At 41.8% G+C, this 20,993-nt stretch overlaps 1 protein-coding gene across 2 annotated transcripts in view; it reads right to left on the bottom strand.

The window, feature by feature from the left end:
* VPS13D (vacuolar protein sorting 13 homolog D) overlaps nt 1-20,993 on the bottom strand; it is a 282,018-nt gene that overhangs the window by 232,066 nt on the left and 28,959 nt on the right. For both annotated transcript variants that reach the window (NM_015378.4, NM_018156.4), the window contains exons 11-20: nt 19,188-19,289; nt 18,833-19,034; nt 17,902-18,081; nt 12,971-13,101; nt 12,062-12,137; nt 11,106-11,276; nt 8,858-8,988; nt 6,847-6,979; nt 1,944-4,157; nt 332-483 (exon numbers count right to left, since the gene is read on the bottom strand). In NM_015378.4, the coding sequence (NP_056193.2) occupies nt 332-483; nt 1,944-4,157; nt 6,847-6,979; nt 8,858-8,988; nt 11,106-11,276; nt 12,062-12,137; nt 12,971-13,101; nt 17,902-18,081; nt 18,833-19,034; nt 19,188-19,289 (3,492 nt within the window). The remainder of the gene's footprint in view (nt 1-331; nt 484-1,943; nt 4,158-6,846; nt 6,980-8,857; nt 8,989-11,105; nt 11,277-12,061; nt 12,138-12,970; nt 13,102-17,901; nt 18,082-18,832; nt 19,035-19,187; nt 19,290-20,993) is intronic.

Below are 20,993 nucleotides of genomic sequence, written 5' to 3'. Positions count from 1 at the left end.
GTGTGACAAGAATGATATCCTCCTGGGAAAGGAGACTCTGACTTTGTAAGCAATCATTTCCCCATTTCTGAATGTCAATGGAATTAAGAATCTGCCGTCTTCCTCTAGATAACCCACCCCTCCTCCATATGAAAAAGGCTGACAAGACGGATTCCCCATGACAAAAGGATTCCACAATTATTGGAACAAGGTTTCAACAATGGTATTATGCATGGGTGATATATCTTTGAAAATATATATTCCTTCCAACATGTAATATACATAAATATATATCATATTTATAGAGTACTAATATAAACATATGACTTCAACTGCCCTGACATGAATTTACCTGAACTGGATTGACAAATTTTCCTTCAATCTTCATGATGCTAGAAGTTCCCAGGTCATCTGGGCTAAGAGAAAAAGTCAATTCAGATTCTCTCTCTATAGGGATCTTCTCCAGTTTAAACTGAATGGTGGTGTTGTTCAGGATGTGAAAAGCTGGCATAAAAGAGATGAAATGATAGACCATAAACCTTAATATTTACTTCATTACTGCTGATTAAACGTAGAATATACAAAATACAGCCCATGAGTTACACTTAGACCAGGAGGGCAGGTTAGCCTGGCACCCGGGGTCTATGATTGAGAGCAAACCTTGACAGCTATCCTGAGGCCAAAACTCATAGCAAGCTGAGGTACAAGATACATTTACACAAAAAAAGAAACAATATTTTCATCACATGCTCCACTTGGTAGCTTCAAAGCACGATGTGGTGAACATTATTCCAGTCCAGAGACTACATTATGCTTCTCTGAGCCACCCAAGCTGGCATTTTCCAAACCGAATTATTCATCCTTACCTAGCTTTCAGATACAGATGTATCCCTCTTATTAGGCCTAAATCAGAATCTAGGACAATACAAGTTCTAAGTAAACAACTTTTATCCAAGCAGAGAAAGCTATCTTTTGATAAGTATAAAAACAAATCAGTGAATTAACATCTGATGACCACAGAAGGGTAAGTTCTCAAAGGCATTAATTTCATCACCAATAAATAAAGGCGTGCTCTAGGACTTACCTGATCTCTGCGTGCCAAGACCAACAGATTGGACTGTTTGGTTTTAGCTGATCAGATCCAGAATACAAACATAAGCTTTTATTCTTAGAACCTTGGACCAACCCATTATAGAAGAAGATGGCAGAATATTAAAGAAGATAATATCCACAAACTATTTACATCAACCCCTTGAGGCATCTTGGGCTAAAATGTTTAACTAGGAAGGATCGACAGCTTGGGAACAGAAAATCAGATATATTTGACCAAATTAAACAATACTTTAACAACATCCATCCACTGAAGCATCTCTGTAAATGAGCACTCATACAGTTTCAAGCTGGAACACTTCAAAAAAATAAATTCCTGCCTGGGCGCGGCTGGTCACACTTGTAATCCCAACACTTTGGGAGGCCGAGGCAGGCAGATCACCTGAGGTCACGAGTTCGAGACCAGCCTGGCCAACATGGTGAAACCCTGTCTCTACTAAAAATACAAAAATTAGCCGGGCGTGGTAGCGGGTGCCTGTAAGTAATCCCAGCTACTTGGGAGGCTGAGCCAGGAGAATCACTTGAACCTGGGAGGTAGAGGTTGCAGTGAGCTGAGACTGCATCATTGCACTCCAGCCTGGGCAACAAGAGCAAAACTCCGTCTCAAAAAACCAAAAAAATAAAAATAAAAGTAAGTAAATTCCTGTTTTGTCAAATATGACATTAAATGGAAAAGGGTGAAAACATGCCAACCTACTACAAGGCATTCTATTAAAACTCTTTGATTTCTTAAATATTAACTGAGGATTATTCTAAAAGAAAAGGATTTTATTGTTGCTGTTTTACGCAAAGGACTCCGTGAGCTGGGTTTTCAATCATTAAACAAAATAGAACAAAAGACTGATGCTCCTCACCTTGACCTCTATGCAAAGATTCAAAGAAATCATGTCGTGTGAAATGAGCTTCCTCCTGACTGTTGGCACTGCCAGACCCGGAAGGTGGGCAAAACATCCGGCTTCCTTCAGACCCAACAGCTTCTCTACCTGCCAACTGGGTGCAATTCAAAGAATACAGTTTAATGTCCTTGATTTCCACCTGCAGACGGTCACTTCTGGATTCATCATCTCCCGCCACAAAATTCTGGATGAATATCTGTCCCAAGTGTCCCACCAACAACTCAGGACTCCCCGGCTTCCGAGGGATAGAAACAACTGGTGATTCAATGTTTATGTTCAAGATTAGCTTTACAGTGTCCAAATGAGACGAAGCTAGGTCAAACCCATATATTTCATTTTCCTCTAAGATAAAGGGTTCCCGAGTCTTCCTTGGAGTTTCAAAGAGCGATACCATCTCGCTATACTCGGCAGTCTTGGTAGCTAGTACTGTGGTGACTTTGGTGGCTGCGCTTTTCAGCATACCTCGAAAATTTTCTTCCAGTTCATCCATGGATAACGTCAACTCCTTCAAAAACTTAGCAGAGTGGTTATAATGTAAAGAAGCCATCTTCAGGTTGAGAAAACACTCCTGTTTAGATCTCTCAACAAACGTGAAACTCAAAGCTTCAGTGAGGGCTGCATCTTCCATTCTGACAAACACAGATTCAAAGTAGCCAATATCACTGATGATATTTTCATAGCCTACAGAATTCCCAATGCTGACAACATACTGGTTTTTAACGTTATCTTGTGTCAAATCCATAAGCTGTAAACAGCCAAGAGAACCATTCATGTCAAACGTGCTACCCATTGAGACATTAACTTTGGTGCCACCTATACTTGCAGTTGCAATTTTTCTGCCATATTTCTCTCTATTTGCCATGCCCACTGTCCGAAGAAGCAGTAAGTTCAGCCTATGGATTTCCACTGCAACCTCAGTGTTTTGTTCATATGTAGACTGGTAAGTTCCTTGTTCTCTGAAGCTTCTTTCAAAATCAGTCATTAAAGGTTGAGGACTTAAATCATCTTTTTCCTTGGGAAAGGATTTTTGAAGAAAACCAATTAGCTCCACAATCGTCTCTGGATTGAGGATAATATCTAAATTATTCACCTGTAGGGAAATCACCTGAAGAGTACTGTCTAAATTCATCGATGGGCACTCTGAACTCACAAACTGATATTCCAACTTAATAAGGGACTCTTGCTCTTTGGTAAGAATTTTGTCAAGTGAAACACTAGTAGCTGATCGGTCGTTCAGTGTAGCTCCATCAGTTAAGTGGGCCACATTCGGTCCAGAGACAGGAGACTGGGCCCTGCTATCCCGAAGGCTTCCCGTTGGAATATCAAAGCTCAAGTTCTTATGTGAAGCCATCAAAAGGTCAAAATCAGCACCATATGTCTGCATGGTATCCACCAGGAGCAAACCATGAACAGTTAGGGAGACTTCAGCATCATAAGGCCTCTTCACAAAGTGAGCATTGGTACCAAACACCTTGAGCACAGAAATGTACCGGCCATTGCTCTCAACACCAAGCTGCATACAGTTCACTTTAAATTCCGCCAGGAGGAGCTGCGACTCCACCAGAACCTCGCGGGTATGCTGCTCCAACAACACAATGCTCTGGGTTAAATTCATTACGGAGTCTTGCAAACTTCCCCGCTGCTCCTCCTGGGGAAAAATCTTTTCTTTAATCTGAGTGTCAGAAGTTTTCATTTCTGGGGTGGTGAGGAGAGCAAAGCAATTCTTTAGTGCAGATATTTTATCTTCATTAATGTGGATTTTTAAGTCTGGTAAGTTGCCTGAGAGCACGGCTCCTGGATATTTGGGATCTGAAGTATAAATCAATCGACGCTCTAACTGTAGGTGAACGTTGAACTTCTCTACCACATGTGTTGGTCCCACGTCAATATCCTGGACATGCTTCCAATTGTCTTTCACTCGTCCAACCATGATCTGGAGGTCCATAAATGACAGCGAGTACCTCTCATACATCTTTGTGCTCATTAAATGTGCTTGAAGCTGTTCTTCACTGAACTCAACTCCAGAAAAGGGAGGTGTTTTCTCTCCGTTGCTGCTGCTTGACTCGGGAGGTGGGGTGTTAGGAGGTGTGGCCAGGGGGGTCTTATATTCATCATCACTAAACTGGGTCTCTTCAGATGCTGACCCATCCCTACTTTTCCTCCTGGAGTTATCTGAAGATAAAAAAAAGAAGATTCAAATATATGTCTGCTATTTCCCTCCTCTTTCCCTTAATGTAATAATTATGAAAGGTAGAGAATCAACCAACCCCAGTTTGTTTAAGAAAACTGAGGAAAACTCTTAAGCATAATATCTTTGTTTACCATTTTCTAAGTGTGAATTTACCTATAAATTTGGAAATCAAAACACAAATATAAAAAAGTATGGACACGAAAAAAGCTGGAGGCCCCCTGACATGAGCGCCACCTGCTGACCCAATGCTGCCTCCCCACTTCTCCCCTGCCTTGCCATGGGCGTGAGCTGCTTTCACCAACCCTTTCTTACGTCCCTCTCTAGAGTCTTTTATTTCTTTTCCTTTTTCTGTGTGTTCATTTGTTTCCCCCACTGGAATGTTCTTTTATTTCAGGTGAAGTCTCACTCTGTCACCCAGGCTGGAGTGCAATGGCACGATCTCAGTTCACTGCAACCTCTGCCTCTCAGGTTTAAGCGATTCTACTGTCTCGGCCTCCCAAGCAGCTGGGATTACAGGCATGTACCACCATGCCCGGCTAATTTTTTGTATTTTTTACATTTTTATTTATTTATTTTTATTTATTTTTGAGATGGAGTCTCATTCTGTCACCCAGGCTGGAGTGCAGTGGCATGATCTTGGCTCACTACAACCTCCACCTCCCAGGTTCAAGAGATTCTCCTGCCTCAGCCTCCCGGACAGCTGGGATTACATGTGCCTGCTACCATGACTGGCTAATTTTTGTACTTTTAGTAGACACAGGGTTTCACCATGTTGGCCAGACTGGTCTCGAACTCCTGACCTCAGGTGATCCACCCACCTCAGCCTCCCTAAGTGCTGGGATTACAGGCGTGAGCCACCGCACCTGGCCAATTTTTTGTATTTTAATAGAGACAGGGTTTCACCATGTTGGCCAGGCTGGCCTCGAACTCCTGACCTCATGTAATCCACCCACCTCAGCCTCCCAAAGTGCTGGGTATTACAGGCATGAGCCACCACGGCCCAGCATCCACTGGAATGTTCTGAGAGAAGAGAGGTCTCATCTTTCTTGGTCAACACAGTCTTCCTAGTGCCGAGGTAGTGCTTGGTGAGCGGTAACTGATCAATATGCAATTGTGTGGCCCCAGAGTCCACAATCAGCTCCTCTTTCTCCAGCTGAGCAGTGCGCCAAGACAACTATAAAAATACACCACTGGGGCTGGGCATCGTGGCTCACACCTGCAATCCCAGCACTTTGGGAGACTAAGACAGGCAGATTGCTTGAGGTTAGGAGTTCGAGACCTGCCTGGCCAACATGGCGAAACCCCATCTCTACTAAAAATACAAAAATTGGCCGGGCGTGGTGGCTCACACCTGTAATCCCAGCACTTTGGGTCGCCAAGACAGGTAGATCACTTTGAGGTTAGGAGTTCAAAACCAGCCTGGCCAACATGGCGAAACCCTGTCTCTACTAAAAATACAAAAAATTGGCCAGGTGCGGTGGCTCACGCCTATAATCCCAGCACTTTGGGAGGCCAAGGTGGGCGGATCACCTGAGGCCAGGAGTTGAGACCAGACTGGCCAACGTGGAGAAACCCCATCCCTACTAAAGATACAAAAATTAGCTGGGCATAGTGGTGGGCACCTGTAATTCCAGCTACTCAGGAGGCTGAGGCAGGAGAATTGCTTGAACCTGGGAGGCAGAGGTTGCAGTGACCTGAGATGGCGCCACCACACTCCAGCCTGGGCGACAGAGTGAGACTCCATCTCAAAAAAACAAACAAAAACAATTTGGTACTTCCTCAAAATATTAAAACATAGAGTTACCACATGGCTCAGCAACTCCACTTCTAGGTAAATAAAGAATTAAAAATATATGTCTACATTGCAGAAATGGGGGTCTATAAAAAAGAAAAAAAATTTAAAAGAAAAAGAAAATATATGTTTATACAAAAACCTGTACATGAATGCTCACAGCAGCAATATGCCTAATAGCAAAAGAGTGGAAGCAACTCAAATGGCCATGAACAAATGAAAGGATAAACAAAACGCGGAACAGCCACACGATGGACTATTATTCGGCTATACGAAGGAAGGAAGTATCGGTATATATTACAACACAGAATAACCTTGAAAATGTCATGCTAAACGAAAAAGCCAGACAAAAAAGGCCACATATGGCATTATTCCATCATATGAAATGTTCAGAACAGACAAATCCAGAGACAGAAAGATTAGTGGTTGCCAGGGGATGGGGAGCGAGAAGGGGAATTGGTGTTTAATGGGTACACACAGAGTTTCAGTCGGGGAAGATGCAAAAGTCCTCCCGATATTAAATAGCAGTGAGAACTGCACAATTCTATCCACATACCAAAAACAACCGCACTATACATTTAAAACTTAGAATTATCTCAATAAAGCTATTATTTTAAAAGTAACAAGTGAACCCTCAGGTCTTAAAATGTTATGTAAACATTTTATTAAGCTTTACTTAGATAATCATAGACAGGTCGATCTACCAAGATATGTTTTCATTATTTCATTATTTAAAAAGTTACAGATGAACCTTGAAGTTTAAAAATGTTACATATAAAAATGTTACATAAACATTTTATTAAGCTTTACTTAGATAATCATAGATAGATCATCCATCTACCAAGGCAGGTTTTCATTATTTCCCACTCACACTATACCTTGGGTGTTCGTCAAAAGCATTCTTCCTAGATCCACGACAACTAACACAGGATTCTTGAATTTGAAATCATCAGGAAATATCACCTGAGGGGCAGAAATATCCAGCCGCACGGTCCATCGTTTACTCTCCTCCTGTACAAATAAAACAGTCATTAACCATAACTGCCGAAACCCAACAGCTTTATCCATGGTGCTCAAGCATTTCTGGAAGCTGCAGCTAGGATTATGGAGTGACTCAGTGATCTAATGTATTACAGCAAAAAGTCTAAGACAAAAGTAGATGTAAATGCTTGAGGATCTGAGAAATTACCACAGACAAGTATCTGAACAGGGGAGAAAAAAAATAGCAAATAACTAAATAGGGGAGAGTCTGTACTTAAGAAAGATTTTGTTTCTAATTTACAGGGTTTAATACTTTAAAGGATTATAGAAATTATAGAATTCAAATAAACATAGAATTCTAAACATTTTTACTTATTCAGGGGCATTGGTAACCATGAACTTCCATGCCAAAATATCTTAGTGAGAAACATAAGCTTTGACATTTGAAATATAAATAACACACCAATTCATGATTTGTTCATTGTTCTTCCCTCCAACCAAAATCAGCCTCAACTGTATGTATGTGGCAAAAGCTAATTTACATTACCAAAAAGAAACCTCTTTTGTTTACAAGAATACTAATTGTCATACTTTATGTAGAAACACACACACACACACACACACACACACACACACACACCAAAACAAAAAACAGGACTAATTCTCCATCCCATACTACACACCACATTTTACTTGGATCATTTCTGCTTCTCTGACACCTATAACTTACTCTGCACTGTCCAAAAGAAGCCACACTTTTTCTCACTGTGCCACCTGCTGCTGTATTGTAGCAGTGCACCTCCATGTCACCTGAGAAACTGTGCTTTACTGGACTATTTTGATTTCTTGAGACAAGGTCTCACTCTGTCACCCAGGCTAGAGGGCAGATCATAGCTCACTGCACCCTCCAATTCCTGGGCTCAAGCAATCCTCCCGCCTCAGCCTCCTGAACAGCTGGGACTACAGGTATGTGCTACCAGGCCCAGCTAATTTTTTTATTTTTTGTAGAGACAAGGTCTCACTATGTTGCCCAGGCTGGTCTCGAACTCCTGAGCTCAAACGATCATCCCACCTCCGCTTCCCCCAGTGCCAGGATTATAGGCATGGGCCACCTTGCCCAGCCTACCTACTGGACTGTGAAGATGTCTCTTGGCCCTCCCTATCTATGGCATCCTCATGGCAGCTGGCCATTTGGCATCACAAAGTACCTAATCATCACACCCTAGAATAGAAGCTGGGGCATCATTCCAGTTGTCTCTTCTGGTAACAGTAAGCAAAAAAGAGAAACTCTCACATGAAACATGCACAAAGTATCAGGTCTGGAAAATGGAACAAACACGAGTCTTTTTTTTTTCTTCTTCTTTTTGAGACAGTCTCACTCTGTTGCCCAGGCTGGAGTGCAGTGGTGCAATCTCGACTCACTGCAACCTCCGCCTCCCAGGTTCAAGTGATTCTCCTGCCTCCGCCTCCTGAGCAGCTGGGATTACAGGGACCCACCACCATGCCCAGCTAATTCTTGTATTTTTAGTAGAGATGGGGTTTCACCATGTTGGCCAGGCTGGTCTCGAACTCCTGACCTCAAGTGATCTGCCCACCTCAGCCTCCCAAAGTGCTGGGATTACAGGTGTGAGCCATAGCACCCAGCACAAAGATGAGTCTTGAAAGTAACCTCATCCTGGTGCAAGGAGACACAGAATCTAGTCACAGTCATTCATTTTATTAGCTAAACCCTGACTATAAAAGACACAAGATTCTATTCTATGCTAGCTGATAAGGATTTAATATTTTCAGTTTACTCAGTCAGCATAATTGATATAAGTAAGCCTATCTACAGTAAGTAGTGACTTGACGGAAAGAATTCCTGCCCCTTCCCCAATCCCCAAAGAGTGTTTATGGATGCCCACTTACAATGAAATCACCCACTAGCAAACGATCAAGAGTTTGCCGGATTTCTGCCTTGGTCTGCATCTTCAGCTTGTTATATTGTCTTCGGGCAGCTTCAGCCACTCTCAGCTCAAGTTCAGACTGATAACCAAAACCTGCAAGGTTGGAAATACACAGCAGAGTCAGAATTTTCACACGGCTGGGTGAACAAAAGTGCTACATCAATTCTCACCAAGAATGTCCATCAAAGCTTAAAAAAAAAAAAATCAGGCTGGGCATGGTGGCTCACACTCGTAATCCCAGCACTTTGGGAGGCCAAGGCAGGAGGATGCCTGAGCCCAGGAGACTGAGGCTGCAGTGAGCCGTGATCACGCCACTGCACTCTAGCCTGGGGTGACAGAGCAAGACCCTGTCTCAAGGAAAAAAACAAATCAGTAACAACAGTTTCTTACTCCAGTATGACCTGGCATAATACAGGGTAACAGGAATGAGACAAAAAAGCGTAAGTGAATGGACAGCCATGGGGGGAGAGGAGGCAAGTGAGAGAAGTGTACCTAAGTTACTAGAATTTCTTAAGCCATTTTCTGAAAGATTCCAAACTACTATATTTCAAAATTCTTAAAAAGCACTGAAAGAGAAAATGGAATTTCAAAGGAAATGCCTTCTATATTCTTTTTTTTCTCTTCTTCTTCTTTTTTAAGACAAAGTCCCGCTCTGTCTCCTAGGCTGGAGTGCAGTGGCATGATCTTGGCTCACTGCAGCCTCCGCCTCCCAGGTTCAAGCGAGTCTCCTGCCTCCCGAGTAGCTGGGATTACAGGTGCACACCACCACACCCAGCTAATTTTTGTATTTTTAGTAGAGATAGGGTTTCACCATGTTGGCTAGGCTGGTCTTGAACTCCTGACCTCTAGTGATCCGCCTGCCTCAGCCTCCCAAAGTGCTGAGATTACAGGTGTGAATCACCACACCCAGCCTTTCTATATTCTTTCTTTTTAAGACAGGGTCTTGCTGTGTTGCCCAGGCTGGAGTGCAGTGGTGTAATCATAGCTCACTGCAGCCTCGAACTCCCAGCCTCAAGCAATCCTTCTGCCTCAGCCTCCCGAGTAGCTGGGGCTACAGGCACACAGCACCATGCCTGATTAATTTTATTTTATTTTTATTTTTAGTAGAGATGAGGTCTCACTATGTTGCCCAGGCTAGTCTCAAACTCCTGGGCTCAAGCAATCCCCCAGCCTCGACTCTCAAAGTTCTAGGATTACAGGTATGAACCATTGTGCCTGGCCACCTTCTATATTCTATCAGTGACAGAGCAATGAAGTCACGGCATTTATGGCTACTGTTTATATGAAGAGACTAAAAAACTAGTCCAAAAACTAAAACAGATTCATTGTAATAAAGGGGGAAGGGACATTTAGGAAAATACTATTGTTTTATAAATCTCCCTGTCCATAAAAGTATTTTTTCTGCACCTACTGTTTCAAATCTTCTTGGAGAACAAACGGAGGCATAAATAAATCAGTGATTACATTTACAACTTTGCAGTATTTAATGCTGCACAAAGGAGGTCAAAGAGACCACTGATCCTGTCATCTAGAAGGAAATTCTTGAACATTCCTCCTCAGTTCACTGGTCTAAAATATCCTGGGTAGCCAAGGAAACCACTGTCATAGTGAAATAAAAAGTATGGAGATCATTGCTTTTCAGTTCCAAGATGCAGATTTCCAGTTACAATTCTGGCTGAACATACAGCCATGGTTAAATCAATATCATGAAACTACTTTATGCCTGTAGTACTTTCATCTATTTTTATAAGAATGTTTTGCAATTGAGAAACCTAAAAAAGATGATGAACTCCCCCACCCCATACTATTTTATTGCCTTTCAATTACTCTTGGTAATATTTTAAGATAGGTACCGATTCAAAGGTAGTGGCTTTCAAAAAGTACAGCTGCTATTCTTTGGTGCCATTATTCAGAATGACAATATGAAATAAAAATGGGAAAAAAAACAGAAATGAAAAGTATGAAAAAATACACGCTAAATGGAGGCAAACAAAGAGAAAATATTTAAGGATATAGATTTCTCTTGGAAAAGACTGTCCACAAATATCTACCCTGGTTTAGTAACAGGACAGGGCAACCCTATTGACTTACTCTGCAGGCCTTTTTTGTCACTATCAGAGCATCTGAATAACCCTTGTCCAGAACACCAGAAATAACAATAAAGATGTTTTTCAAAAGGAACATAAGATCAAACAAACAAAAAAGTTAACCTGAGGTATGAACCTTTCCCTTGTAGAAAAAGTCTGCTACTTTTTTAATGGCCTGCGGATTGTATATGATGTTCAAGGGCCTTGTGCTGACATTGAGCCGCCTCTCAAAGTGGCTGTGCGCCGGATTTCTCTCATACAGCATCTCAAAAACGGGGCCATCTGGATCTGCAGCTAAAGGAAAGAACAGGAATAAGAACACGGAACAAGGCAAAAACTATAGCCTTATTAACAGACCTGTGAGGGATTCTGGAAAAACAGACATTTTCTAAATTATTTTTCAATTAGTTCACATTTATGCCTATCTTTAAAATAGAAAGCCTCATCAGGATTGACTGTTTAATTTTCCACAGGAATTGTGTAGACTGGCCTGTTGTATTAGCTCCCATATCATGGAAACCAAGGACCTGAAGACCCTGCAAGGTTGCCCAGTTAGCCCCAAGTTCGCAGCTCCACTGAGAGAGGACCAGGCTGTCTTCAAGTGAAACCCTGGTGTACACAGCAAACCACTGCGCACAAAACAGAAAACATTCCCTCTTTTACTACTGATCAAAGACTACTGATCTGGTTTTTGTTGGAAAGTCCCCCAAAAAGAATTTTTAAATTATTAAAAAAAAAAAAAAAAAAAAAGCTCAGGCATGGTGGCTCACACTTGTAATCCCAGCACTTTGGGAGGCCAAGGAGGGTGGGTGGCTTGAGCTCAGGAGTTCAAGACCAGCCTGGACAACAAAGCAAAACCCCATCTCTACTAAATATACTAAAATTACCCAGACATGGTGGCACACACCAGTAATCCTGGCAAGGGCATGAGAATCACTCGAACCCGGGAGGCAGAGGTTGCAGTGAGCCAAGATCACACCACTGCACTCCAGCCTGGGTGACAGAGCGAGGCCCTGTCTCAAAGAAAAATTAATTTAAAAAATTTAAAAATTTTAAAAAAACAACATAGGACAAATTACCTGGGTAATGATCACTTCTGTCTGCAGATGTAGTTTGTAGACCAAAAGATTGTGAGACTCTGCCAACTTCTTTTTGCTATTAAACAAACACACAAAAATGCGTAAACGTCAGCGTGAGAGGGGACAATTCACTAAACAAACCCATCTTACCCTTCAGCAACACACTCCCTTAGCACCATCAAATCAAAACTCACTTTACCTCAGATTGACTACTTGCAGAATTGTTTCGTTTTCTGCCCTTTTTCCAATCTAGTGAGACCACATCTTTTCCTTTGTACTGACAATATGCTACTTTGCACTCGGCACATTTAATGAACAGTTGCTAAATGAAAATTAAACATGTCTAACTTTTCAAACTTTAAGTCAGCCTTCCCACCCTCTCCATAACGTTCCCCCAACCAAAACAAAACTATGGACAGAATAAGGGGTTAACTACTCAGCCATTTAGACAGCTTGTTGCCAACTTAAGATCAAAGATCTTATCGTTAATAACGTATATTATATTTTAAAAATTACATATATATAGAAAACTTGAGATGTTTCTGTTTTGGGACCCTGGCGAGACGAGATTTCATGTCAGTAACTAAGGGTCAGAAGGCATGAAAATGACTGTCAGATACAGAGGAAACCCAAACATTGACCTTGAAATGCAGAAAATAGTGGTCTTATAGCATTTTCTTCCAAATCAGAGCAAAATATACCATGGTGGCTACAATACAGGAGTGCAAGAAGGCATAGCCATTAATGTCACCAACATTTGCTCTTTAACAATTTCAAGAAACTTTTCTAATCCCAGCCCATCAGTCTCAAGATGATCAAATGTCAGAATGAATCAGTTATCATTTGCCTAAAACAGACTACAATTTACCAACACCTTAGATACATTAACTATCCAACTGTTGTACATACTGGATTAGGGAAGACTAGAAGAGGAAACATAGTTCCTTCTGTAGCCAGGTCTCGAAGAAACAGTCCACCCAACCGGACTGAAAGCAACGAGGAATTTCTTCGAGGAAGAGACTCTGCTAGAAGTTTTACATCTATAAAAGATAAATAAAATAGTTGATACAATGCTTATGAGAGCCTAATGTGTTTTTGAAAATATTAGATATTCTATTTTACAGAAGATTATTATAGATGAACTATTTTTCCTTGAAATTAAACAAACAAACAAAAAAACCCTATCTATCTACAGGCACATATTGGAGATATTGCGGGTTTGGTTCCAGACCACTGCAATAAAGTGAGGATCACAATAAAGCAAGTCACACAAATGTTTTGGTTTCCCAGTGCATAGAAAAGTGATGTTGACACTATACAGTAGTGTACTGAGTGTGCAATAGCATTATGCCTGAAACTACAATATAGATACCTTAATTTTAAAATATTTTATTGCTAGAAAGTGCTAACAATCCTGTGAATCTTCAGCAAGTTGTAATCTTTTTGCTGATGGAAGGCCTTGCCTACATGATGATGCCTGCTGACTGATCAAGGCGTGGTTGCTGAAGTGTTGGGGTGACTGTGGTGATTTCTTAAAATAAGACAACAACGAAGTTTGCTACATCAACTGACTCTTCCTTTCACAGAAGATTTCTCTGTAGCAGGTGATGCTGTTTGATAAAGCATGTATTTAACCACAGTAGAATTTCTTTCAAAACCACAGTCAATCCTCTCAAACCCTGCCATTAGCAACTAAGTTGATTTAGTATCCTAAAAACTTTATTGTCATTTCCTTTTTTATTTTGTTTTCTTTTTTGAGACAAGGTCTTGCTTTGTCACCCAGGCTGGAGTGCAGTGGTGCAATCATAGCTCACTGTAACTTCAAAGTCCTGGGCTCAAGGGATCCTCCTACCTCTCAGTCTGCCACGTAGCTAGGACTACAGGAGCATGTCACCATGACCAACTAATTTTTTTTTTAATTTTTAGTAGAGATAGGGTCTTGCTATGTTGCCCAGGCTGGTTGTGAACTCCTGGCCTGAAATGATCCTCCTGCCTTGGCCTCCCGAAGTGCTGGGATTACAGGCGTGAGCCACCACGCCCAGCCTTGGGTTGTCATTTCAACAGTGTTCATAGTATCTTCACCAGGAGTAGATTCCATCTCAAGAAACTACCTTCTTTGCTCATCTGTAAGAAATAACTCTTTATCCATTCAAGTTTGATCATGAGATTCCAGCAATTCAGTCACATCTTCAGGTTCCACTTCTAATTCTAGTTCTCTTGCTATTTACCCCACATTTGCAGTTACTTCCTCCACTTAAGTCTTGAATCCCTCAAAGTCATCCAAGAGGGTTGATTTCTTCCAAACTCCTGTTAATGCTGATATTTTGACCTCCTTCCACGAATTACAAATGTTCTTCATGGCATCTAGAATGGTGAATCTTTTCCCGAAGCTTTTCTATATACTTTACCTAGGTCCATCAGAGGAATCACTATTTATGGCAGCTACAGCCTATGCAATGTATTTCTTGAATAATAAAAGTTGAGGCTGGGAGTGGTAACTCACACCTGCAATCCCAGCACTTTGGGGGCTGAAGCAGGAGGATCGTTTGAGGCCAGGAGTTTGAGACCACCCTGGCCAAAAAAGTGAGAGCTCATCTCTGAATAAATTAAGCAATTAATTAAAGAAACAAACAAACTTGAATGTTGAAATTACTCCTGGATCCATGGGCTGCAGAATGGATGTTGTGTTAGCAGGCATGAAAACAACACTAATTTCTTTATACTTCTCCCAGCAGAGCTCTTGAGTGACTGGATGCATTATCCACGAGCAGTAATATTTTGAAAGGAATCTTTTTTTCTGAGCAGTAGGTCTCAATAGTGGCCTTAAAATCTTCTGTAAACCATGCTGTAAACAGATGTACTGGCATCATCCAAGCTTTGTTGCTCCATTGATAGAACACAAGCAGAGGAGATTGAGCATAATTCTTAAGGGCCCTGGGATTTTCAGAAAGGTAAATCAGCAACTTAAAGTCACCAGCTGCACTGGCCCCTAACAAGAGAGTCAGCCTGTTCTTTGAAGCTTTGAAGCCAGGCATTGACTTCTCCTCTCTAGCTATGAAAAGTCCTAGATGGCATTTTCTTCCAATAGAAGGCCTTTTCATCTACAATGAAAATCTATCATTTAGCATAGCAAGGATCTTAGCTGGATCTTCTGGATAACTTGCTGCAGCTTCCCCATCAGCACTGGCTGCTTCACCTTGCACTTTTATGTTATGGAGATGGCTTCTTTCCTTCAAACTCATGAACCAGCCTCTGCTAGCTTCAAACTTTTCTTCTGCAGTTTCCTCACCTCTTCCAGCCATCCCAGAACTGAAATGAGTTAAGGCCTTGCTGTGCATTAGGCTTTGGCTTAAGGAAAGGCTGTGGCTGCTTTGATCTTCTATCCAGACCAAACTTTCTCCATTGCAGCAGTAAGGCTGCTTTGCTTTCTGATCATTCATGTGTTCGCTGAAGTAGCACTTTTACTAATAATTTCCTTCCAGAACTTTTCCTTTGCATTCACAACTTGGCTAACTGTTTGGCACAAGTGGCCTAGCTTTTGGCCTATCTCAGCTTTCGACGTCTTCCTCACTAAGCTTAATCACGTTTAGCTTTTGATTTAAAGTGAGAGACATGTGACTCTTCCTTTCACCTGAACATTTAGAAGCCATTGTAGGGTTATTAGCCCAATTTCAACATTGTGTCTCAGGTAATAGGGAGGCCCCAGGAGAGGAAAAGAGACAAGGAAATGGCCAGTCGGTGGAGCAGTTGGAACATACACAATATTGACTAAGTTACCATCTTCTATGGGCATGGTTCATAGCACTCCAAAACAAATACAATAATAACATTACAAATTGGTGATTACAGATCACCATAAGAGACAGAATAATAATGGAAAAGTTTGAAATACTGGGCAAATTACTAAAATGTGACACAGAGACACAAAGTGAGCACATGCTGTTGGAAAAATGGCACCTATAGACTTGCTCATTTTTAAACTGTCAATTTGTAAAAAATGTGGTGTCTATGAAGTGCAATAAGGCAAAGTGCAATAAAATCAAGTGTGCCTGTATCTATCCAGCTGTCTAAACACACAAACACCATTAGAAGTTTCCTAGCAGAAGGAATTTTAAATAGTGCCTTTTCAATTCAGTTCAAGTAATCTGCTAGTTAATACTAAGTTTATGACAGCTCAATTTTCTACATTATGAAGTCAAACAAACTGGCTTTTTAAAAAAAATCATTTGTCCTTCAGCCACTCAGGAATCTCAAATAAGCTGCTGTTTTATGGACCGAAATAAAAATATTTGTGAGATGTCCAAACATCTGCATATTTATTTATACACCTTTAATTCAAAGTCACAAAAACATCTGCATATTTATTTATACACCTTTAATTCAAAGTCACAAAAAGAAGGCAAATACTGTCAAGTCAATCCTCATTATTCACAGATTCCATATTTGCACATTTGTTTACTTGCTAAAATTTGTAACTCCAAAATTAATCCTCATGGCACTCTGTCATTCAGACACTCACAGAGCAGAAAAAAATTCAAGCCACCTGATATGCACATTCCCACCTGAGTTCAAACATGGCAACGCTCTGCCTCCTCATTTCAGCTCTCACACTGTGAACAAGCATCCCTCCCATGGTCTTCTATTTGGCGCCATGTTTTTCATGCTTCTGTGCTTTTTGTTTGTGGTTTCACTGTTTAAAACAAGCCCCTAGTGCTAAAACGCTGCCTAGTGGTCCTGAGTGCAAGAAGACTGTGATGTGCGTTACAAAAAAAATATGAGTATTAGAGAAACTTCATTCAGGCATGAGGTATAGTGCTATAGGCCATGAGTTCAATGTTAATAAATCAATAACACAATGCTCCTTGACTTAGGATGGAGTTATGATAAACCCACCATAAGTTGAAAATATCATAAATCAGCTGAGCGCAATGGCTCAGGCCTGTAATCCTGGCACTTTGGGAACCCGAGGAGGACAGATTGCTTGAGGTCAGGAGTTCAAAACCAGCCTGGCCAACGTAGCGATACCTTGTCTCCACTAAAAATACAAAAATTAGCTGGGCATGGTGGCGCGCGCCTGTAGTCACAGCTACTCAGGAGGCTGAGGCAGGAAAATCGCTTGAACCCAAGAGGCAGAGGTTGCAGTGAGCCAAGATCATGCCACTGCACTGCAGCCTAGGCGACAGAGCAAGACTCTGTCTCAAAAAAAAAAAAAAGAAAGAAAATACAGTAAGTCAAAAATGCATTTCATATACCTAACCTACTGGACATCACAGCTTGGCCTAGCCCACCTTAAAAGTGCTCAGAATACTTACATTAGCCTAAAGGTAGGCAAAATCATCTGGCCACACAGTCCACTGTAGACTATTAGCTGCTTACCTCATGACCGCATGGCTGACTGGGAGCTGTGGCTCACTGTTGCTGCCCAGCATCTTCAGAGAATATCATACTACCTATCTCTAGCCCAGGAAAAGATCAAAATTCAAAATCCGAAGTATGACTTCTACTGAATGTGTATAACTCTTGTGCCACTTGTAAAGTTGAAAAATCCAAAGTCAAACTATCCTAAGTCAAGGACTGTCTGTATATCTATATTAAATGTCTTTAAATACAGACACGCATTTTAAAAATTAAGGTTAGGTACTGATCAGTTGATGAATGTTATGACCAGAGGTTCACATGAACCTAACCCAGTATTTCCCCTAAGAGCAATGGTTCCACATTAGCTAATACAGTTTTCGCACTGACTTTCTAGACTATCCCCACAGCAAATAATGAGAATCGCCTGGACATTGGCCCACAGAGAGACAACAGTGGCAGGTAGTTTCTTGGGGGCAGTGTACCTGAAAACTCGAGCTGCATGAAAGCACTTTCATTCATTTGAGGAGTTCCTTGCTCCTTGTGTAACAGAGTCACTGTACCTCGCTGCAACTGCAAATTCAGTTTGGCAAAGACATGATCTCGCTTTGTATACGTGTTCATACACGAGGCATCTGCAGTGGGGTCAAAAAACTCCTCAGTGCCTAAATGGTAAGGGAGAAAAGACTGTAAGAAAAAACGTGGAAGAATAAAAAAGCACCAGCAAGCAGACTGATCACAGTTATGATGATGTTATTTAACTATTTTTCCCTTTGTTAAGAAAGAACTCCAAAGTCATGGGTGACTATTTTATAATATTTCCTAATGTAAAACAACCCTAATTGTTTTTTAAGGGATCTTATCAACTTATTATCAAACCAGGGAGGATAAGATTCATGATAAGGGATGGTATAAAGCAGTGCTGCCCAGCATGGTGAAATGGTCCGCATCTGCGATATCCAGTACAGTGGCCACTAACCACATGTGGCTACTGAGCACTGGGAGCACACGTGGCTAATGTGCTAGTGCAATTAAGAAACTAAATTTTTACTTGTATTCAATTCGAATTAAATTTTAGTTAGCCATTTGTGCCTATGGCTAGATATCGGACACTGCAGGTTTAAGAGAGGCTCTAGACTGGTATTCAAACTTCAGAGTTTAAAATTGTTGAACTTGCTCAAATTTAGTTCTTTTACACGCTCTGCCTCTCAGCTCTTTCTGAAACTGCATTAATACGCACATTTAGTCACAGAGTTACAAATGGAGTATCTCCCAAAATACTTCTTCTCTCAGCCTCTATGAACATAAACTGTTCTCCAAATATCTACTTTTGTTAAATTTGAAAAATACCACAAGCTGTTGCACAAATAACAGACGAATTTGTTTGAATCAAGTGAAGGCCAGCTCCCACCGTACCCAGGATCTCTTCAGGAATCCACTGCTCCTGTTGCTCTGCTGACAGTCCCTCAACCACATTCCCTTCTGGGGTCTGCTGCCCGTACCAGCCACCCCATCCAGGAAACCAGGACTGGAGATACTGCAGCATCCCACTGCCTCCACCGGGTTCTGGGGCTCCCGGACAGGCTCCTGGAGAATCAAACTGAGGCTCCCGCAGACTCTGTGTCAATCACAAAGGAGCAGAGATGAGTACTCAAAGATAAAAGCAAGCTGTGATATGCTGCTGTTTCCCCACAGGAGCACAAGCACATCAAAACTGTAGCACTCAGGGTGTGCTGGGTCTGAACAAATCCTCTTGTAGAGGATTTCTTACCTCTGCTAGTTCTTCCTGTTTGTGAAATCGATCATGAACCAGTTCACGCAAAATCTTCAATTCCTCAAAGCTCTGTTCCTCTTCAATCCGACACATTTCCTCCTGTTTGGGTGAAAACAAAAGCAAATAAACAAAAACACAAACGTTGTAGATCCAGAGACACTGGACACCCTCACAAGCCACTAAAAGTAAAGCACAGAAACCTCTCTGGTCCCCTGCATTTCCACTGAAGGCCAAGAAACAAGATAAATAGTTCCATGATTGCTGTTTCTGGCTTAAGTAGCTTTTCCATATAATCCAGTAGATGTTATTTGGTCTTAAAAACATCACCAACAATTCTCCAGAAATTGAGCTCTATGAAAGAAGGGGAAAAAAAAAATCACTAACAAGTTTCATGACACCTGAGATGAATGGTGAATGGAGAGGGAGCGAAGAACAGCAGTACTCAGTTTTAAGAGTCACTAAAGTGTGGCCAGGTGCGGTGGCTCACGCCTGTAATCCCAGCACTTTGGGAGGCCGAGATGGGCGGATCACGAGGTCAGGAGATTGAGACCATCCTGGCTAACATGGTGAAACCCCGTCTCTACTAAAAATACAAAAAATTAGCCAGGCGTGGTGGCAGGCGCCTGTAGTCCCAGCTACTCAGGAGGCTGAGGCAGGAGAATGGTGTGAACCCAGGAGGCGGAGCCTGCAGTGAGTGGAGATGGCGCCACTGCACTCCAGCCTGGGCAACAGAGCAAGACTCCATCTCAAAAAAAAAAAAAAAAAAAAAAAAAAAAGTCACTAAAGCATATGGACTATTGCAGCACCCACACTTTGGACAGCACTGACCCCGTTTACAAAGGGCTTCCACATGCCTTAGCTCAGATGAGGAGTAAGCAGCCTAGTTATCGCTCTTCCTGAAACCCAGGACCAAGTTTCCACAGGAAGTGTGCAGGCCCTAGCTCTTTTATACTTCATGTAGGAGATTAGCAAGAACGTGGTCATTTTCACTTGTTTCACTCTAGTTAGGAAAGAACCATGATACCCAGCTACATTTTTTAAAAGCGGAATTAGCTGTCCTGAACTGCTTCTTACACCATAACATTAAGAACAAAGGAGATTTTACGTCTTTACTTGCTCATCTCAGTTGTAAATAAGATTTTCTCTTCTTCTATGTCTTTGTGTGTGCCTTTAAGAAAATCATCCAAGGGCTGGGCGCAGTGGCTCAGGTCTGTAATCCCAGCACTTTGGGAGGCCAAAGCGGGCAAATTGCTTGAGCCCAGGAGTTCCAGATCAGCCTGGGCAACACAGCGAAACCCTGTCTCTATAAATGATACAAAAATTAGCCAGGCATGGTGACGTGCAGCTACTCAGGAGGCTGAGGTGGGAGGATCCCTTGAACCAAGGAGGCAGAGGTTGCAGTGAGCCAAGATTGCACCACTGCACTCCAGCGTGGATGACAGAAGGAGATCCTGTCTCAAAAAAAAAAAAAATAAAAAGAGTAGGCTGGGGGTGGTGAAGGCTGAGGCAGGTGAATCACTTGAGCTCATGAGTTCAACACCAGCCTGGGCAGAAGGATGAAACTCATCTCCATAAAAATTAAAAAATTAGACAGTTGTGATGCGGGCCTGTAGTCCCAGCTATTTGGAAGGCTGAGTTGGGAGAATGGCTTGAGCCCAGGGTGACGGAGGTTGCAGTGACCATGATCATGCCACTGTATTCCAGCCTAGGCAATAGAGCCAGACCTTGTCACACAAAAAAAAAAAAGAAGAAGAAGAAAAGAAAAGAAAATCATCCAAAATGTCTGGTTTATTTTATCCTTCT

This window comes from Homo sapiens, chromosome 1 (assembly GCF_000001405.40).
Source record: "Homo sapiens chromosome 1, GRCh38.p14 Primary Assembly".
In the NCBI taxonomy this organism is placed as follows: domain Eukaryota; kingdom Metazoa; phylum Chordata; class Mammalia; order Primates; family Hominidae; genus Homo; species Homo sapiens.
The sequence above is the reverse complement of the archived record's forward strand: the minus strand, read 5'-3'. Positions and strand labels throughout refer to the sequence as shown.